Source organism: Homo sapiens, chromosome 14, assembly GCF_000001405.40.
Source record: "Homo sapiens chromosome 14, GRCh38.p14 Primary Assembly".
Taxonomy (NCBI): domain Eukaryota; kingdom Metazoa; phylum Chordata; class Mammalia; order Primates; family Hominidae; genus Homo; species Homo sapiens.
The window spans coordinates 72,447,098-72,468,185 of record NC_000014.9 but is presented as its reverse complement, the minus strand read 5'-3'; the positions used below and the strand labels follow the sequence as shown (position 1 = coordinate 72,468,185).

At 44.3% G+C, this 21,088-nt stretch overlaps 1 protein-coding gene across 55 annotated transcripts in view, besides 2 other annotated features; it reads right to left on the bottom strand.

The window, feature by feature from the left end:
* Window positions 1–21,088, bottom strand: part of RGS6 (regulator of G protein signaling 6) — a 762,695-nt gene that overhangs the window by 161,844 nt on the left and 579,763 nt on the right. For 53 of the 55 annotated variants that reach the window (NR_135235.2, XM_024449761.2, NM_001370270.1 and 50 more), the window contains 4 exons: window positions 13,608–13,658; window positions 9,809–9,915; window positions 8,503–8,554; window positions 2,364–2,428 (listed from right to left, as the gene is read on the bottom strand). Coding sequence is in view for 54 of the 55 variants with exons in the window: in XM_024449761.2 (XP_024305529.1) it covers window positions 2,364–2,428; window positions 8,503–8,554; window positions 9,809–9,915; window positions 13,608–13,658 (275 nt within the window). In the remaining variant the exon portion in view is untranslated. Of the gene's footprint in view, window positions 1–2,363; window positions 2,429–3,468; window positions 3,493–8,193; window positions 8,330–8,502; window positions 8,555–9,808; window positions 9,916–13,607; window positions 13,659–21,088 lie in introns of those variants that run through there. The other 2 variants (XM_047431985.1, XM_011537397.2) reach the window with 2 other exon arrangements.
* Window positions 11,452–11,654: a silencer, noted in NCBI's record as "fragment chr14:72923240-72923442 (GRCh37/hg19 assembly coordinates)". NCBI's record gives its function as "represses an EF-1alpha promoter that drives an FKBP-Casp9 reporter gene in an ReSE screen in both phorbol 12-myristate 13-acetate-treated (for megakaryocytic differentiation) and untreated K562 erythroleukemia cells {active_cell/tissue: K562 | K562(+PMA)}" and the evidence as "EXISTENCE:reporter gene assay evidence [ECO:0000049][PMID:32094911]".
* Window positions 16,601–17,378: an enhancer, noted in NCBI's record as "H3K27ac-H3K4me1 hESC enhancer chr14:72917516-72918293 (GRCh37/hg19 assembly coordinates)". NCBI's record gives its function as "activates a minimal SCP1, AML or CMV promoter by ChIP-STARR-seq in naive H9 embryonic stem cells {active_cell/tissue: H9 hESC(naive)}" and the evidence as "EXISTENCE:reporter gene assay evidence [ECO:0000049][PMID:30033119]".

Genomic DNA, 21,088 nt, shown 5'->3' with positions numbered 1-21,088 from the left:
GATGGTCTCGATCTCCTGACCTCGTGATCTGCCCACCTTGGGGATTACAGGCATGAGCCACCATACCTGGCCTCAATGCCATATTCTTTACAAATACCAGAGCAGAACATTAAGGGACAAGAGAAGAGAAATTGAATCAAATACAGCAGGAGTTGATGCTGTCTGATTTCTGTATGGGACCTTTTTCCAAAACATTGAAAATATGGGGAAGAGACACACAGGAGGGAGGGGCCCCAGGCTTCTACTGTCTGGGCCTTTCCTCAAGGTTGTGTTAAGGAGGTAATGTCATCATGTCAAAGCTACTTGCACTGGGCGCACAAAGAGTACAACAGCAGTCTTTTGAAGGAGGGGTGCTGTGATTGCTGGGCATTGGGGCAGACAGGGGCATGACTGGGCTCCCAGGATGTCCAGAGCCACAGAACAACCAGGCCAAGGTTTATCTGGGGAGATCATAATATTCCAACATATGATCATCTGATAATGCAAACTCTAGCCAGGTCCTGAGGGCTCTGGACAAACTGCTGCACTGCTTCTTCCTCTTCTGGCCCCCTGCACCCCATTCACAGGTCCACAATGCCAGTGGGATCAAAGAGGTGAAGGACCATGCACACGTCCTGCTCCCCAATGGCATGCGCATTCACACTTGGGCTGTAGAGAGGGGAGCGATGGCCCAGCTGGCTTGGTAGGCTTGGTAGGCTTGGTAGGCTTGGGAACATGAACCTAGGAGAGGTAAGGCCTGGCAGAGTGGGGCCTCACACTTGTTTTGAAAGACTGAGGCAGTAAAAGCAGGAAGGGCTTTGGCGGTGGGTGGGTCTGAAGATGCTGTTAATGCTGGACTATCCAGGGAAGGATTCTCTGCTCCCCTTAATGTTGCCCCTCCTTCCATAGCTGCTGGCCCTTCAGTCATTCATGGCTCAGCAGCACATCCTTTGGAAGACATATAGGGAGAGGGAAGTAGAAGGTATAAGAAAGTTTAGCCAGTTTCTCCCATTCTCTGTGACCCATGTAAAGTTCAGTTTGGGGGAAAAATTTTGCAACCAAAAGTTAAAAAAAAAATTAAATGATCTATGAGTTTTCAAGTGCTTTGGTTTCTGGGCTCTGTCAAATGGGAATGGACCCAAGTTTGGTGGTGGGGCCTCTAATTTTTGCAAGAAGTCTCATCTTATGAAGAAAGATAGAGAAGGAAGGTAAGAAAGCTGGGAAGTAGATACCTCATGTGACACACATCTTGTCTTATTTTCTGAATTGAATTTTACCCTTAGATTCTGCCTCTGCTACTAAGCACAGGAGAGTGGGTATAAAGGTGCAATTTAAAATTTTAATTTGAAATGTTATTATGTAGTAAATTTGACTTTTTTCCTTTTGTACAAGTCTGTAAATTTTAACACATGTATAGATTCATACAACCACCACCACGATCAGGATACAGAACAGTTCCATCACCTTCCAACAATTCCCTACCCCATCCATAACCACTAGCAATCATTGATCTGCTTTTCATCATGATAGTTTTATCTTTTCAAGAATGTCCTATAAATGGAATGGCTGGCCTGAGATTGGTTTCTTTCACCCAACATAATGTTCTTGGTACTCATTCAAGTGGTTGTGTGTATCAACAGTTCATTCCTTTTTACTGCATAGTAGTATTCTATTGTATGGATGTACCACAGTTAGTTTAACCATTCAACTGTTAAAGTGCATTTGGGTTGTTTTCAGCTTTTGGTTATCACAGATTAAGCTTGTATGAACATTAGTTTATAGGTGTTTGTGTGAACATGAGTTCTGATTTCTCTAGGGTATGTATATACAAGTGGGATTGCTTGGTTATATGGTAAGTGTATGTTTAACTTTATAAGAAACTGCCAAGCTATTTTCTAGAGTGGCTGTACCATTTTGCATTACCACTAGCAAAGCGGAGAGTTCCAGTTGTTCTACTTCCTCACCATCACTTGGTATCATCAGTATTTTTTATTTTGGCCATTCTAATAGGTATGTAACAGTATCTCACCACGGATTTAATCTGCATTTCCTAAATGGCTAATAATATTGGACATCTTTTCATGGGTTTATTTATCATCCTTGTGTCCTCTTTGGTAAAATATCTGTTAAGTCATTAGCCTATTTTTAAGTTGAGCTGCTTATTTTTTTATTGTTGAGTTTTAAGAGTTATTTATGTAAAAACACCATCTTATTGTGATGGTCAGAGGAGCTGAGAACAAGGGAGGAGAAATAGAAGATACTTCCCTTCCACTGTCTGAAAGGGACAAAAGGGGGACAAAAGAAAAAAAAAATAAACTTAGACGGAGCTGCAGATATGATTTTACTCTCTTCTTATATGTATCCTGGAAAATAATCATACTTACTGCTTCATAATCTGCCAGTTCCAGCCTTGCTTTATTTTGCATTGTCCTCTTACAGAGATAGATGGCTGAGGGAAGAAAGGAAATGACAACATGTACAAAACCAGCAGCACAATGGAATTATAAGCCCATCCATCCATCTGTCCATCCATTCACCCATTCACCCATCCATCCATCCATCCATCCATCCATCCATCCATCCACCCATCCACCCATCCACCCAACCATCCATCCATCCATCCATCCATCCATCCATCCATCCATCCATCCATCCAGACAGCCCGCCCACCCACCCTTGCTATGTGCCCAGCACTGTCCTGGGAAAAATATGTTTTCTAAGTGGACCTCATGAGCACTGTCCTGGGAAAAATATGTTTTCTAAGTGGACCTCATGACCCCTGACCTCTATAAATCCTTTCATAGTCATGATCAAATGAGGACTCCTCCATATTCCAATCCTGACAACTCCCCTTCTTCCTCCTCACTCTGCTTCACCCTGAACATCCTACACTCAGAGTGATATTTCACAAACATGACCACATTACTCCAGTGCCTAAAAGCTCTGCCTGGAGTCCTCAATGGCCTCAGAAGTAAGGTTGGGCTCGTTAGGATGGCAAATATGGTTCTTTATGATCTGCTCACTGCTTATCTCATCAACTTCTTCTCCCTCATGCAGGCACTGTGAGGCCACCAAACTCTTTTCAGCTTCATTCTTTTGCATATGTGTCCTTTTTGAGGAAAGTCTTTCTCTCTTCTCTCCTTCCCTCTATCTGGCAACCTCTTACTAATCTTTGAAGACCCAAGTTGGTGTTTCAGATAGCATCTACATGTCCTTGACCATGGAACTAAATTCCATTGCACTGAAATCCTGTATTTACTAGACTGTCCCCTGCTCTAGGCTGAAGTCTCTTTAAGGGCAGAGGCTATGTCCTGCTCAGCTTTCATCCCTGTTGCTAGCACCATAGCCTGTCTTGTCAGGTGCAGTAAAAAGGCTATGGAAAGGGAAGACAATTTAGGTCTCTCAACTCAGGCTAAGGAAAGGTTCTTGGCCCCTGGTTTCCCTGTTTCTTCCTCAAACATGGCCTTCATCATCACTTCTTCTCCCTACCTTTCCTTCTTCAATGTCTTCCTCCTTCTCCAGAGCCAAGTGGAACAATCCAGGGAAAACAGTAGATGAATGGCATAAATAAATGAACAACAGAATGATCAAGAGGGAGGGCCAGAGAGAACCTGTGATCATTTTGTTGTTGGACAACAAGATCTCTTTACTAAGAGATCTCTAGTCAACTCTTTGCTGGATCAACCAACTTCCTTCATTTGTTCTGAAAAATTTACTGATACCTATGACATTTTGGAGCCTGGAAGCTAGCAGCCTACCCTCTGGTATGCCCACACTTCTGCTTCCACCCGGCGAATTGTGTGCTCATAGGAGTCAGTTGTGGTTGTTCCCAAATCTGCTTATATCAGGCACATCTGTTATTTTAATCACACAAGTTCACTAAATATCACACGTCTCAATGAAATTAATGTGAAAAGAGAGAGAGTGTTGCTTCTATGAAAACTCAGTTGAATGGTTTGGAACAATTTAATGAAGGAGAGTTAGCTAAGGCAATTGCTGGTGAATTTGATACAGGTGAGATAACAGGAAAAAGTAAGAAAAATAATAAAAATCTAGGAGGGGCCAATATACAAAAGACTACAAAAATGTCTTTACATTCTTGATGCACTTTAAAGATACCAAAACAGGGTAGTTTATTTTGAGTGCGGTTGATTTAAGAAACTAAAATTATTCAGCTCATAATCAAAGAGAACACTTTGGTCCTACTTCACAAGGCTGTCAAATGAGTGTTCCTTTGTATATCTTACCTTTACATGAGGTGCTTAAGGTGTGCATATGTCGTTTTAAAAATGATTTTCTACTTACCAACTTTTCCAATGAACCAAGCAGCTATAGTGCTTCACTGTGTCTGATAAAGGGGTGTCCGATCTATCACAAAGTACCTCCTTCAGTCTCTTGGACCCCTGGCAGAATTAGGGACAACCTCAGGCAGGAAGCTTGACATGTCACCAGCTCGACTGGGCCAGGTCATGATTACCTTTGAGCAGTGCAGGTCAGTGGAGGTGGCAGCTGCTTTGACAATGCTGCCCTGGACAGGATTTTGCACTGGCCAAATGTAAAACTCAGAAAAGGCTAACCTGGATTTGACTGTGGGTTTTATGCAGGCAGAGTCATCCCAAGAAATGTCCAAATGGGTAAGCGGGGTCAAAATGGGACAGCGGGGTTGTGAAGTGAGTTATCATGCATGGAATGCAGAGCTGGGGCCACTCCTGATGGCCATGAGTCACAGGGTCACATGCTACTAGCTAATGTCCCTGTGCCTAAAGTCACACAAGGAATCTTTTCACCACAATGAGGAAGGTGGGATGTGGCTGTTCTTGGCACAGAACTCCCTGGGGCTTGTCTGCATCCCAGAGTGCCCTCACTAGGGCTTGCTCTAACTTCCAACCGACTCTAGTGACTACTGGTGACAATAGCCAGCCCTACAAGAGGGCATCTGGAAGAACTGTCTTAAGCTCAGATATTGGTTTCTCTTGGATATTTAATTTCTTACCGAAAAATTTCTATTTCCTTGTCCTTACATCTGGCATTCCACCCTTACCTATATCTCACATCTCACTCAGAGAAATCCACTGCCATCTCAAGTTCACCATGTGTCACCACACAAAACTGGGACATATTTAAAAATTGTATAAAGGGAACACATTCATGTATTATATGTGCAATTAAATTTCTTAAAAAATATTGAGCTTATCGAGTTTCAATGTACTGAAGAAACTGACCCCTTTCTTTACTTTCTGCCTTTACTAGCAACATCATTATGTACCTCAATCTCCTAAACTAGGGAACCTATAACTCACTTATTTCTCTATTTTCCTCATACTTTCTGATGACTTTTTAGAACCAAAGAATTTTAGACTGGAGGTAACCTTGGCAACCATCAAGTACAGGCCCCTCATTTACAGATGGGGAAACTAAAGGCCCAGAGAAATGAAGTGATGGACCCAAGGGCTAGTTAGTGATGGAGATGGAATTAGAATCGAGGACCAGTGCAGAGTTTCCTCTATGACATTCACCGATCCATTTATTCATTCAGTCACTCATTCAAAAATGTACTGAGTGTCTCCTATGGGCCAAGTACCGTTTTAGGTGCTGGAAAAATCACCATCGTAGCAGCTACTGCTTCCATTGAGCCCACTGAATATCAGGAACTATTTGACTAAGTCACAGCCCTTACTTAATCTTCCACAGTCCACTTAATCCTCATAATAACCCTACTAGGTGGGTTCTGTTATTACCCCCATCTTATAGATGAACCAATTTTTTCCCAAGTAGGGAAAAAACTTGGGAAAGTGTGTTCATTGTTGGGGACCCACAATAGCTTCCCCAAACTGCTGAATCCATTCTAAATGTCTCTACTTGACTGCCAAGGCCTTTTTATAAACCTGCCCCTCCCAAGCTATTCAGCCTTCTCAGTCATTCATCACATAAAACCTTTGAATACTCAAGCCAGATCCTCACCATGCCTTTCTTCCCTGCATCATGCTGCCTCTCCCAGCCTGGAATGCTTGCGGGGAAAGGCTGTGACTTATTCAAATCTCTGACATAGAATTTGACAGAGTAGGGACCAGTAAACGTTTGTCAATTGAATGAAAGTTTCTGGTACTTCATCAGTCCAAATCATACTATATTGAATTCTTAGCTTCAGTTTCACATGCTTCCTGGTGAGACGGTCACCTCAGTCATAATAATATCAACCAACATCCCAGTGGCAATAATACCGACCCCACCCCAGTAGTGATACCAACCACCACTCCGTATTAACTCAGAGAACCTTACATGCATTTCATTTAATCCTAACAAAACACTAGGAGACAAGTGCCATTACTACTCTAATTTTAATATGAGGTCTCTGAGGCACAGAGAGGTTAAGTAATTTGCCAAGATCACCCAGCTAGTGGAACGGGTTGATCCTGGGGGCTCATTGTGCTGGATTCTCTCTTCATAAATACATCCTGATTTTCTAACTAAACTGCTTTGGAAACCCTGGGGAGTACTGGTTTTTCTTTGTTTTAGAGACAGGGTCTTCCTCTATCACCCAGGCTGGAGGGCAGTGGCACAATCATAGCTCACTGCAGCTTTGAACTCCTGGGCTCAAGTGATCCTCCCATCTCAGCCTCCCGAGTCACTGGGATTACAGGTATGCACCACCATGCCTGGTCCCTGGTGAACACTTGTGCATCCTGAACCTTGATTTCTCCCTCTGATTTGCCATAAATTGAGGCACAGGAATTTAAAATAATTTTTGTTTAATGAGAGCCTGAAACAAACTATTATTTCTCTCCCTGTTCATGATGCACAATTAAAATTATAAAATGAAGAACACCTGTAGAACAGGGAGATGATGCCCTTTAGTATGCAGCATAAGATGCCCTAAGCTTTACGGAAGTAAATATTTTAATCTTACTTGGGCCCAGGTATCTGGTCTTACCATCCTCCCACCCTCTCCACTGCCTGGAAAAATACTGGTTTTCACATTCACAAGGGCACACGTTGCTGCATGGAACTGAGCTATAATTATTCAAATTCTGAGTTGGGCTTTCATGAGCAGTCTTTTCAGCCCCAGAAGCACTAGTTTTATGAGCGGTCAAATGCAGCTCTCACTTGCAGTCGGAAGTCTTCCTGGATCCACTTATCACATTGGTTAGGGTGCAGCACAGTGTCAGAGGGCCCACAGTGGTGCCTGTGGATAGCCAAGCAGACAGCCCCAGAGCCTGCCCTTCTGCATGACTGACGTCCTCCACACTTGACCATGGAACAACTCCAGCCTTAGTAGGTACAACTCGCTTGTATTCCATCCTCAGCTTGGCTCCCTGTTGTTGGTTTCCTCTTGCTCAAACGTGTGACTCCAAGGTTGTATCTTATCCCATGGGTCTCCCAGACAGGCTCCCCTGATCACCACCCAGCTGCACATCTCCCTCCCACTCACCACAGCTGCATCTGCCTTCTTGTCTTAAACAATTCTGCAAAGAAGCTGCAGGTCTCATTGAGTGTCCCAGTCCCAAGGAGAGCCACAGATGAGACTGCCACAGCAGCTGAGTCAGCAGCAAGGATGCATGCAAAGGGGCAGTGCTGCAGCTACAACCTTCAGGCATGTCACACATGGGACCGTGAAAGAAGTATGGGTTTTGGAGCCACTCAGATCTGAGTTCAAGTTCTGCTCCCTCTAGTGAGTGTCTGTTGGTCACCTTCAATAAAGAACCAGAACTGTCAGTGGATATTTACTGAGCACTAATTCTGCCTCAGACATAGGCTATGCCCTGGAGATATGAGAATGCATAAGCTGGACCAGCCTCTGCCCTCAAGAGGCTTATAATCAAGGGAGCATTCAGACAATGTGGTAGTGTGAGGGTGTGGCCCCTCTGGGCCTCAGGTTCTTTCTCTTAAGCATAGCGATAATAAAACTTCTTCAGAGAATTGGCATATAGGAATATTAAATAATCTCCACTGAGAATATCTGGCAGAAGTCTTGTAGGTCCCTGTCTAGAGAGACAGAACTCTCAACTTCACCCACTCTATTTTCCTAGTCCAGAGTGACTTCTGTATACTCCTCCCTGGTCTCTGTCTCTTTTCTAAATTGCAACTGTCAAGAACACCAAAAGGTTCTTAGTAAGTTTTGACAAGTCTATGAGAACAGAAAGGGCCAGGAGGAGGTAGCCCCTTGATCCAGCCCTCCCTGAAGCCCTATCCCTGGAAAGAACAATTAAAAGTCACCATCTGATAGTGTTGCTGTGGGATCCTGGTTCTCCATGGCCCCAAGATGAACATACTGACCACCCTTGATAAGATTTTTCTTCCCTCTCCTGCTTCCCCTCCAAGGACTACATCTTTCAGTAAGCTGGGCCTTCCTCTGTTATGTGGAACAGGAGATTTGTTATATAGCAACAATATGAGAAAGGACTAAGCAGAAAGGACCCTCCTCCCCATGTACCACCATGGCCCACACCAAGCATTTGTCTTCTGCACCCCCAGAAGTGACACACAGTGTTGAAGTTGAGAGTTCCCAGTGGCTTCAGTTCTCACCATAGTCAGTGTTTTCAGGTTCCCAGCAGTTCGAAGGCCAGAAGTACGGAGCCTGCAAAGGAGCATGGGTGTTAGTGCTCAGGGGCGCGCCATGCCTGCGCTTCCCTCCCACACCCAGGGAGGAGCCTCCCTGATGGCAGGCTCTCCCCCATCTCCTTCTTGCTGATGCTACCCCACAATTCTCTCCTCTTCTCTAATTCAGCTAAGGTGAGTCAACATTTTAACCTAGGCATTGAGAAGCAAAATGTAAGTAAGCAAAACAAATGCAAAAATGTTAAGTTTTGTTCACAGGGCAATATATTCTTATCCTGAGACAATAGAGGTCTAAGTACAAAAGTCAGGCTGGCATAACTTACTGGGCACCTAAGCCCATGTTCCTTTCCTCCCTTTAACCTAGTCTGAAGAACTCTTCTCCCACACCCTTTGGTTAGACCTTGATTCAAGCCCATATCCTCTGCCCTCATTCCCTCTACGGAAGGATCTGGGAGAAGGAGTGTGAAATGGGTGGGGAGGGTGATTAGGTCGCAAATAGAAACTTCACTCCGAGAAGGCAACATGAGACAGTAGAAAGATCAAGGTCTGTGCTATCAGGCTCACTTAGGTTCAGATGAAGGCTGCTCCAGGATTTACTAAATGACACTTTAATTCTTTGAGCAATTCAGTTTTCTCCTCTGTAAAATGGGTAATATTTACCCCCTAAAGTGTGCTCTTCAGAATAAATGAGGAAATCTGTACAAAGTGTCTACCATGGTCTGAATGTCTGCATCCTCCTCAAATTCACATGTTGAAATCCTAATCCCCAAGGTGATGGTATTGGGAGGTGGGGCCTTTGAAGCCCTCACAGGTGAGATTAGTGCCTTTATAAAAGAGGTCTGATATAAGCCCCAGGTCCTGTCTGCCATGTGGGGATATAGCTAGAAGGTGCCATCTATGAGCCAGAGAGCAGGCCCTCACCAGACACCGAATCTGCTGGCACCTTGGTCTTGGACTTGCCAGCCTCCACAACCATGAGAAGTAAATTTTTTGTTTGTTTGTTTATAAGATACCCAGTTTAGGTATTTTGTTGTAGCAGCCCAAGGGACTAAGGCAGTGCCCAGGGCATGGTAGGCTCTCAATGACAGCCTTTTACTATTCTCTAAGTGGGTCACCCAGTGGCCCAGAGAAAAGTTCTCTTGGCTTTCCCAGTGCTGATGAGGAGTGAGGGCTACTCCCTCAGATATCCCTAGGTTTTCTTTGTAGTTCTAACCTAAGATCAGATGATGTTGTGAAGAAAAGGTTCTTCAGGAGGAGGAGCCAGCAGGCTTACCTGGAAACGATAAAAGGTGCCATCATCCTTCATGGTGAGAACATGGTCTGAGATTGGAAAGATGTAGCCCTGGGCAGCGATAAGGCTCCCCAAGTGTATTGCTTCAACTGTAAGAACAGTGCATAGAGAGAGAAGGAATTAGAAAGCAGGTTATTTGGCTGAAAATTAAGCTGGGAGACCAGAAGTCAACTGTCATCACCCCCAGATGTCTGTGTTGATGATACAATTGCCCTTGCTCAGTGTGGGGGTGAGGAGGGGAGATGCCAATGGCTGGAAAGGGCAACTATGTGTCTGGGACTTGTCTGAATCCCACCTCTGAGAGTCTGACATGGCTTAACCCCTCCTCACCCTGACCTTCAGAAGAAAGTCTGGCTTCAGGGTCAAGGGCATAAGTTCTGGCATAGAAGAACCTGTATTTAACTAAGTGAGATATTTCACATGAAGTGATTGTCTGGTACAGGTCAAATACTCCGTAAGTGCTAGCAGCTCTGATTCATACCAGTTTCATCATCCCCAGCAGTAAGAATGCAGCCTCGCTGCCCATAGAGACGTAGGACTCCCAGTGCGTTCCCCAATATGACAGTCCCATCAGGAATGAGAAGGGTGTCACCCTTCTCTTATGGACAGAGAGGAAAACCTCACTTCCTTTGAAAATTAGAGGAAGGACACTGAAGTGGGCAGTGACAGAGAGAGGCTAACCTGATAGAAATACTTATATTTTTGCCACAGTCAATCTGTTCCTTCGTTCCTTTGGCACCAGCCATAAATAGATGCACATAGAAAGTTGAGAATATAGGTCGGGCATGGTGGCTCACGCCTGTAATCCAGAGGCAGGCGGATTGCTTGAGCTCAGGAGTTTGAGACAAGCCTGAGCAACACAGCGAGACCCTGTCTCAATTAAAAAAAAAAAAGTTAAGAATTTAGATTTATCCTGAGCAGAGCTAAGAAAAAATAACAAACCTCAATGCTTCTACCACACACAATCTTTCACAAATCCAAAAGTACTGTTACAGGTTAAAACTAATTTTTGGACATGGAAATTGTTAATGTGCTCAGGGAGCCTCTAGCAATTATTAATTTCACGAGCTCTGACTTTTTAAAGTAGTTTGTTTTGGCTTTACTTGCAAACTTTTCAAGAAGTTGAATACAATGCAATGTTTTGCGTATCAAGAACCACCTATTCTCCTTTGAAAGAAACATACATGTAACTGGTGGAATTGGAATGAATAGAGTTTTATTTTACTTGCTTAGTGATGACCAATTTGCTATTTTTTTTTTTTTTTTTTTTTTTTTAGAGACAGGTCTGACTCTTGTCACCCAGGCTGGAGTGCAGTGGCATGATCACAGCTCATTGCAGACTTGAACTCCTGGGCTCAAGTGATACTTCTGCCCCAGCCTCCCAAGTAGCTGGAACCACAGGCACATGCCACCACGTCTGTCTAATTTTTTTTTTATTTTTTTTGGTAGAGGTAGGGTTTTGCCATCTTGCTCAGGCTGGTCTTGAACTCCTGGGCTCAAGCAGTCCTCCCAGCTGAGCCTCCCAAAGAGCTGCGATTACAGGCATGAGCTACCATGTCTGGCCGGTTTGCTTTTTAAAGTCCATATGCTTCAAGAACCATGAGTCCAGCTAGAACAGAAGTTTCATCATCAGCAGTTGCTCCTTCCCCAGAGAAGAAAGAACAAAATCCTGTAGGAAGGTGACTTTCATGCCACCAGTCTTGGAGCTAAGACTCTAACTTCATTCTCTGAGCAAAAATGTTTTTGCTTAGACGTTGGCCAATGGGGCCAGGTGCAGTGTCTCACACCTGTAATCCAAGCACTGTGGGAGGCCAAAGCAGAAGAATTGTTTGAGGTCAGGAGTTCAAGACCAGCCTGGATAACACAGTGAGATCCCCATCTCTACAAAAAATAAAACAAAAAATTAGCTGGATGTGGTGCTAGGAGCCTATAGTCCCAGCTACTCGGGAGACTGAGGTGGAAGATGGCTTGGGCCAGGGAGGTCAAGGCTGCAGTGAGCTATGCTCGTGCCACTGCACTCTAGCCTGGGTGACAGAGTGAGACCTTGCCTCAAAAACCAAAAAATAACCACAGGAAATCGACTGATGGGAAAAAGAAGGGAGAGAGGGGCAGATGCTGGATCTGACTGTTTCCCAAGGCCTCGGTTTGCCTCATCTCCCCCCTTAGACTATTCCCAGCTGACAAATGGTTCTTAGCTTCTCCTCAGCCACTTCTCAGAAGCCCAAACAGGCCCCTATACCATGATGTCTTCCCAAGGGCATCAGAGTATAACAGATTTTCATAGAAATAACTCTCATCATTCAGGACCCTTCACAGAAGCTTCTCACGCCAGGGCTGGAGGATTCCTGAAGCTCATTCTCACATACTGCTCGCCAATTTAGGGTTCTCATAATAGTAATAATAAAATATATGTCAGAAATACAACGATTATTTTAGGAGGCAAAGAAACCAGTGCTCTTGGAAGAGAAAAGGTGGCCATGAGGAAACACGTTCCTTAGTTTAGCATTATAATCACAAGAAATACTGACTTTAGATAAATGTAACTAAACAGGTAGATGCTGATTCAGTCCAGGCTTTCCAAGCGGACACTCAGAAGTACAGGCTGCATCAGGGACAACACATAGTGAGTTGCTTTGGGTTCTATCCTTTACAAAGGGTTAGCATTTATAGTTTTTTCCCTGTGAATCAAGAACTTGACTAGAATTAAGAATTTTCACTAGTTGTGAGAGTAGCCACTAATCAAGGGGGTGAAAAGACTCGGGCCACTTCTATGAATGATCTGCTTTTCTGGCACTCAGAGTTCTAACAACTGTATATAATTGAACTGCATAGAAACTGTATTGTTTTGCAGTCAACAGATTAGAAATGTTGGGTTAAAATACAGGAGTGCCAAGCTGACACACCGATTCCAGCAGGGACTCACAGCTGAAGGTCACGGATGCAGAATGGGCACTTCAAAAAAATCTTCAAAAAGCATTGTGGTTCAGGGCCATTTAATTTGGGGCAGGTAAGTCTAATCACGCCAATGTCCATTAAGAACATCAGAGTGTATTAGTGGATCTTTATAAATGTGACCTTCAGGCATCAAGAATACTCAGTTAATCAAGGCAAAGGAGTATGTAATAAATTCGGAAAAGTATTAACTGACAGCACATGGGAATAAGCTTTACTTATCTTGAATTTTTATTTTTCTGGAACACCCCCCCCATTTCCTAATTACACTGTGAAAATAAATTTTACTGCCTATTTTCTGGTGGGAGAACAGACTGGGAAATTGTTTTATTGGCCAGGGTTCTGTTGTTGTTTTCCTGGTAAGGTCTTCCTAATTGAAATGCGCAATTAAAGTTGAAAAAAAATCATTCCTTCACTTCTTGCAGAAGCAGAAAACAGAGGGAGTCTTAGCAAATAATTAAACATCTTAATTGTGGATCAGGCAATCTAATTTTAAGAGCTGGCTCTAGAAGGCTGTTCAGTGACAGTGCTACAACTTATCTTTAATTGCTGCAGCTAATGAGAATTCAACTCATTTCACACATTATTGTATTGGGCTCTTTGGCATTCTAAAAAGTTGCTCATTTCCTCAAAGCATGATTTAAATTTAAAGACAAATATTCAGTGGAGAAAATAAATTAATTTTATTTGTAAATAGAGTGATTCCACGTCTTGGAATTCACATTTACAAGACCAGTTCTCAGGAGGGCAGGGGAATCTAGTTTGGAACTTGGTTATGGGATGTTTACTGATACCAGGGGAGATAAGGGTGGGGTCAAAGGTCAAGTACCTGGGTCCTCAATGGAAAGGTTCTTCATAAGCCACTGCACAATGTCAGTACCTGCAACGATAAAGCAATTTCAGCTGAAGACCTCCTGGGTGTTTAACACTGTGGCAGAAGAAACATGTTTACCTAAGAGAATCCTAATTCCAAACAGTCCACACTGTAGAGCAGGATAATATGGGCACTTTTTTTTGTCCTAACCAACCCTTTCCATTCTTCAGTACACTTCCATAGTTACAATTCCATTCTTGTCCAAAAAACACTCACTTCTGATGATGCAGGATGAGCTTATATTCATGTTTCTAGGAAGTGTCTATAGAGGACTTCCCTGAGACGTGCTAGGTGAAGCTTTATCATGCCTGGCCCCCAGACCATTTCTTGAAGAAGGAGGCCTCATCAGCTCCCTACCATCAATTACAAGGGCTGACCAACACAGGTGACCTCATAGGTTCTTGCAAAACTCTCATCTCTTCCGGCACAGGCCTATCCTGAATGAATGTGTCCCTGCATTTGTGGCAGAAACGTCTATGTATTCACCAAGACCTCTTTCCTCTCCTCACTGTGCCATAGCTAGATTACATTTCCAGCCTCCCCTGCACTTAGATATGGACTGAGTTCTGCCAATAGAATATGGGTAGAAATGGCATATGCCACTTCCAGACCTGGACCATAAAAACTCCTACATGGCTCTCCTTAGCTCTGCCCCTTTCAATCCCATCTACTGGCTGGATGTGGGGGACTCCAAAGACCTGGGGGAATGCAGAGCCACAATAGGCAGGGAGCCACGGTTCCAACCATGGACATTACGCCCATGTGGGGCTCTGACTTGATTGAGGACTGAAAGGACTGAACTTTGTTGTGTTAAGCCCCTGAAATTTGGGACTTAGCTGTTTTGGTATCTAGTATTACCTTAACGAATATAAATCTTAAGAGTCTGAAGGAACTTTTTTTTTTTTTTTTTTTTTTTTTGAGACGGAGTCTCGCTCTGTCGCCCAGGCTGGAGTGCAGTGGCGGGATCTCGGCTCACTGCAAGCTCTGCCTCCCGGGTTCACGCCATTCTCCTGCCTCAGCCTCCCAAGTAGCTGGGACTACAGGCGCCTGCCACTACGCCCGGCTAATTTTTTTGTATTTTTAGTAGAGACGGGGTTTCACCGTTTTAGCCGGGATGGTCTCGATCTCCTGACCTCGTGATCCGCCCGCCTCGGCCTCCCAAAGTGCTGGGATTACAGGCATGAGCCACCGCGCCCGGCCCTGAAGGAACTTTTAAAGCTTGTCTACTCCAACCCCAGCCAATACATGTCCCATTCACAACACCCTGGACAAGAGGTGCTGTAACCTGTGTTTAGAATCCCTAGTACCTGGAAACTCACAAACTCCCCCCTACCCAGCCTGACCCAGTTAAATCAGCCTTGATTTATCTGAACAGAAACTTGCCCCTCTCTGACTTCCTCCCTTTGGCCTCAGTTTTGCCATTTGATGATAGAAAAACAAACCCCAACCTAACCACTCTGTGCGACAGCCCTTCAGCTATTCAGACAGTCCTGCGGCATACCAGCGACGTCCTCCCTCCAAGTGCAACAGGCCTGGGTCCCTCAGCTGCTTCCTTGCAGGGTGTGGCCTGGAGTTCCTCACCATATGTTCCCAATCCTCTGAATAAGTTCCCTTCTGTCTGCCTCTCTTTGAAAATGTGACCCGCAAACAATGTTCTGAGAGCAGCACTGTGTACATGGCAGTAGAGGAGTTCAGTTTTCTGGAAGGTTCTGAATTTCTGGTCAATCTACCTTTGCCACCCAAAGATCTCACTTTAAACCAGTGCAGACCATTGAAGGTGTGGCTTTGTCACCTCTAAATTGTTTGATGGAACACAGCCTGCAAGGGGAGACATTTTAGATATCAGAGTCCTACCGTGGGTCTGAGGCTTTGGTGAGAGGGAGGGGATGTGCCAAGAACTCTCCTGGGCTGGATTCCTGGCTGAAGGCCTGGGGATCCAGCAGAGGGGCTTCATGAGGATTGCCCTCTTCCCAGAAATCAGTTTTCTTAGATATGTGACTGGTGGCCAGAAGTGGGACTGGTACAGGACAGAAAGCCTAGACATTTTGTTTCTCTCTGGGTCCATGGCAGGTGAAGTAACCCTGCACAGTGGGACCCCCAGGGCCATCCTCATCCTCCTGTGTGCCCCAGTTCTGCCGACACAGCCTTGCAATTTTGCAGTTTCCCCGCGCCAACCTCAAAGGCAGCACTTCTAGGCTTCTCCTCACTCTTGCTACTCCTGGACAGCATCTGTGAGTCAAACTTTAGATCAAAAACACTCGTATTCATTCGTATTCTTGGAGAGAGAGAGAGAGAGAGAGAGAGAGAGAATGAATATGTGTGTGTGTACATGTGCCTGTGTGTCCCTTTCCTCCAAGTTATACAAGTTCAACATTTGTCCCAGGAAATGAAGAACAAAGCAGAAATCAAATAAGAACTGTAGTCCCAAGCTGGGGGTGGGAGAGATACTCTAATCTGTTTTTTCCTCAAAAGAAAAATAGTTCTGGCCAGGCGCAGTGGCTCATGCCTATAATCCCAACACTTTTGGAGACCGAGGAGGGTGGATCACGAGGTCAGGAGTTTGAGACCATCCTGGCCAACATGGTGAAACCCCGTCTCTATTAAAATACAAAACATTAGCCAGGCGTGGTGCCACATGCCTGAGTCCCAGCTACTCGGGAGGCTCAGGCAGGGGAATTGCTTGAACACGGGAGGTGGAGGTTGCAGTGAGCCGAGATCGCGCCACTACACTCCAGCCTGGCCACAGAGTGAGACGCTGTCTCAAAAAAGAAAAAAAAAATAGTTCTTTTCTGTGGGTTGCCTAGAAACTGTGAGGTTTCCTGCATTAGCTGAGTTCTCCCCCAGGCCTGCGGATTATCTTTCTGCTGAGCTTGCTGAACCATTATTTATCACCTGCCAAGATTGATTACTCACCCTGGGACAATGACAGCCCTTCCTTTCCCCTGTTAATTACTGTCATCATTAATATCCATGTCACTAATTAGTATTCATTCACATTGAAACTCCTTCCTTGCTATCATATCCGCTCCCCCCAACCACCCCAACCCCCGGCTCAGCACCGTTGTCTGGGTTTCCACCCGCTTTTGGCTTCCTGTGCTCAGCCTTTGGCCTAATTGTTCTCCCCAGTCCACCAGGCCGTGGTTTGCATTTACAGAGCTAAAGAATCACATTTAAGCACTTTTGTTTCTAAAGAAGGGAAAATCACAAAAACCCATTTCCTTTTTTCCCTAGCCCCATGGAGACCACAGAGTGGAGTTTCTTTTCCCTGGTTCAGCCACCATGACAGCTGCTGTCTCATCTGGAGACTGATGCAACAGTCCTCAGGTCCAGGCAAGGGCTGAGCGGCTGCCCCTGGCTGCCTGGGACACTGCACTCAATCTGCAGTGGCATCTACTCCGCCACCATCCCTTCCATGCCATGGCAATGCTTGGTAGACTCCATTTCAGCACAAGCAACAACACCTAGAGACAGGGGGACGTGCTCACTCTCACAGGCATTGGGTATTCCAGGCTTCCTTGGACCAACCCAGGAGTGGCCAAGCCTCCAGCCCGTGGCAGGGAGTAAATCATTGTGTGTGCAGCCCCAGGAACAAGTCAGAAAGGGAAATCTGTCATAATATCGCGTCCTTTAAAACATTTACAGTGATTACGCTGTAGCATCTGACAAGAGTAGTCCAAACATCCAAATCACCAGCAGGAGAAAGCATTTCCATTCTTTTTTCACTTTCCTTTCTTGCCTCTTTCCTTCCTTCCTGCTAACCCACGATCACCCTTTCCTTCCTGTTCTAAAGAGAATTTGAAGCGGATTCCTTTTCTGTTCTATCTAAGATTAATTGTTGCCTTGTTACCACGACTGGTTTCTGGATCTTATCTTAGTCAAGCTGCTTTGCCAAGGACTTAAAGTTAATAAAACAACATAACAAATGCTATGTTGAAACAACATAACAAATGCAGGATGGCCACCCTTTGTTCCCACAGATCCTAAAACACTGTCTGAAAGCATTCTTTTTGAGGCTGATTTATCAATATATATTCCAGGGATATCCAGGATATACACCAGACGGCACCCAAAACACCTCTCCATTGCATGCGTGTTTTATTAGTATATTTAAGGATATATTTATGATATGCAGTTATGGGTTATGTTTCTGTATGTGTTATATGTATTTCAATTATGTCTTTTATATCTAAAATCATGTTTATTAGATGACTGGGAACAAACCAAAGGCCTCTAATAGAGGACTGAATAAATAAATTATGGCTCATTCATGCAATAAATATTTATTAAACATCTACAGTGGAAAAGCATCTTGAGAACAGGGTTACTGTAAAATATTTATGTTCTATTAATTATATATGTATAGATATATATAAATATGGAGAGGAAAAATTCTGGATATATATTTAAATTGTTAACTTTAGGTTATTTTGGGGAGCGGGAGGCATCAAATAATGGGAAATTTCTATTCTTTACATTTCTGTATTATTTGAAGTTCATAGAACATTCATATAATACTTTTACACTAGAAAAATAAGTTTTTATTTTAAAAAGCACAGAGAGAAGAAAGAGCTGGCCTCTGAGGCCAAAGTGGAGATGGTATGGGTAACTTTGGACGGCCTCTGGCTATCCTCAAGCCCTGGCCATTTCCTGCTCTCTGGGGAAAGGGCCAGGAGACTCAAAGCTCTCTTTTTCCTGAGGGGTAAACAGTGGGAGGCTCAATCCCGAGGCTCAATAGTGTGCCTCCAGTTGGCCACTCTCTGGCCATCTGCCACTCCTGGAGCCTCAGAGCGACCCTTTATAGACTCTGACAGGGCTGTCCACCCAGAGTCCGGCCTAAGGGTGCCAACCTGCACCTCTCCTCTGTGTTTGTTAGCTTGTTTACTTGGTGGGAGTAAGACGCAGTGATCTTTTCCTGGTGCCTTTCCATGCTGAATTAACGCTGTTGAGTAAGCTGTAAGGGGTTTCTGTTTCTGGTTTCAGGCAGACACTCATAAAATTCAGGGCTTTGTCTTCAGGTGTTTTAAGCTCCTCCAAAATTGTAGAATTTGACAGGGATAGCTTCCTCCCATTAACGCATCAGAACCGCAGGAGATCCTAGTATAAAACACTCCCCTGATTCTTCCCAAAGCATTCTATCAATCTGAGCCCAGATCAGATTATGCAAAGTTGATAAAAAGACTGGTTCCCATCACCTGCAAAATTCCAGTAACTTGAAACCTGGTGGATTATACAGTACATCATAGTACTGATAAATGAAGCAATTCATAAACTAATTATCAATCTTGACTGTTGGGGAAAGACACTTTCTTTTGAGTAAAATGTTTCTGGAGCCGTATGAATGATCAGATGGTTCCTGCCATGAGTGAACTCACCATACTCTTCAGTCAAGGTTATGACTTGATCCATTGGATTTTCACATTCCTGCCAGGCCTCTGCTGCACCTCTGGGTGGGGAGGACAGCTTCAGGCCACCTTATCACATAGATGTCATGCACAGGCCAATGCTTATGAAGGCGGAGTGACATTTCCTGAGTGCCCATGGTGTACCAGGCCAGAGCTGGGCACTTGACCCTGTTATCGCATGTTATCTTGACAATAATTGTGTCCAATATGATAATTATTATATCCATTTTAAAGATTAGGCCCAGAGAGGCTCAAGACCACAGGCTACTACTGATGGAATCCAGGCAATTTCATGCCAAATATTATTTCCACTATACTATTCTGTGTCTCTTAACTCTGTATAACTTTCCAAGTAGTATAAAGAAAAAACAATTAGAAAACCGATATTCTGTATGTATTCAGTTTTTTTCCTGAAACAGAGGCATTAATTTAGTGATAATAATAATTGGTACTATTATTAGCTGTTGAACTAATAATTTACTGAGTACTTTCTATATTCCAGGCTCTGGAATAATCCTGCTATACTAATCCTATGTTGTAAATAGCATATTATTATCTCCATTTTGCAAATGAATGGAAGGATATTCTAAGTAGGACAATCTTTACCGTCTTTTTTTTTTCTTTTATGCCTTAATTGAAAAAAAATGCAATGATCAGCTAGCAGAGAAAGCTTAACTAAGAGGAAATGTTAAACTGGGCTTTGGAGGGTGAGCACAATGAGTAGGTGGCAGTAAGACAGAAGGGAACACAGGTGGAGAAACACAGTGATGAAAAGTTCAGTGTCATTTTCAAGTAGTATTGTTTGGTCAATGGGCTTGAGTTTTTCCAAGGAAAAGCGTGGCAAATTTCACACTCACTTGCTTACCAAGCATAGGAAATGATAAGGTGCAGCATTTATAAAGTCAGACACACTTGAGAGCAACTCATGGTACATCACTTACAAACGGTGGGAACCTGGGCAGGTCCCTTACCCACCACCTGCCCTGATCTCCATTTCTTCATACGTCAACTAGGGTGAAGTGCTGTCTAGTTAAGAATAAGGCCAGGTATACAAAACTCTCTTCACAATGCCTGGTTCATGGTTTTGCTGAAATGATCTGGTTGTTAGCAAGTCATCTGCTGGCCCTGTGCGTTTATTTCCTCATATGAAAAGAGAACAGTACACTGCGGGAGGCCGAGGTGGGTGGATCACCTGAGGTCATGATTTTGAGACCAGCCTGGCCAACATGGTGAAACCCTGACTCTACTAAAAACACAAAAATTAGCTTGGTGTGGTGGCGGGCACTTGTAATCCCAGCTACTTGGGAGGCTGAGGCAGGGAGAATTGCTTCAACCCGCGAGGTGGAGGTTGTAGTGAGCCGAGATCGTGCCACTGCACTGCAGCCTGGGAAACAAGAGCGAAACTCCGTCTCAAAAATAAAGAAAACAGGACAGTAATAATGGGACCCATCATCTTGACTGTGAGGGGTAATGAACCCATGCAGAGTGCCTGACATATCATAAGCATTAATATTAATACACATTGGCTACTCACAGAGCCCATGTTTCAGGGACCTCATACCAGCCAAGTGTCTAACCCAGTCATCTGCGTGGCTGGGAGAGACAGCAGTAACTTGGAATCCTTGTGTTACTTATCAGCTTTTAAATTTTAGGCCTTAGAGAAACTCAAAATGTCTTCTGGTGCTTTTAGACTGGGATCTTCCGATAGACAGCTTGTTGGACAGAAGGGGAAATGAGGAGGGCATTGTGGCTGGACAACTCTACTAGTCTGGTGAGGCCTCACTGAGAGACTGGGACCTCTGCCCAGCAGCTTTTCTGTGATCCAGGATGCGCATTTCCCGGAAGTGAGGGCAGAAAGCAAAATAGGTGCCCTCACCCCACTGTAATTCAGTTGAAGGTAATGGAGTAAACATCTTTCTGGTTTGGGGTGCTCTGGTTGCATCCATCCCAACACCCTCTTCTTCTTCCCCCACCTCTCCTGCCTTGGGACTGCCTTTCCCTTCCCAGAATGCAACAGTCTCCATTGCACCACAG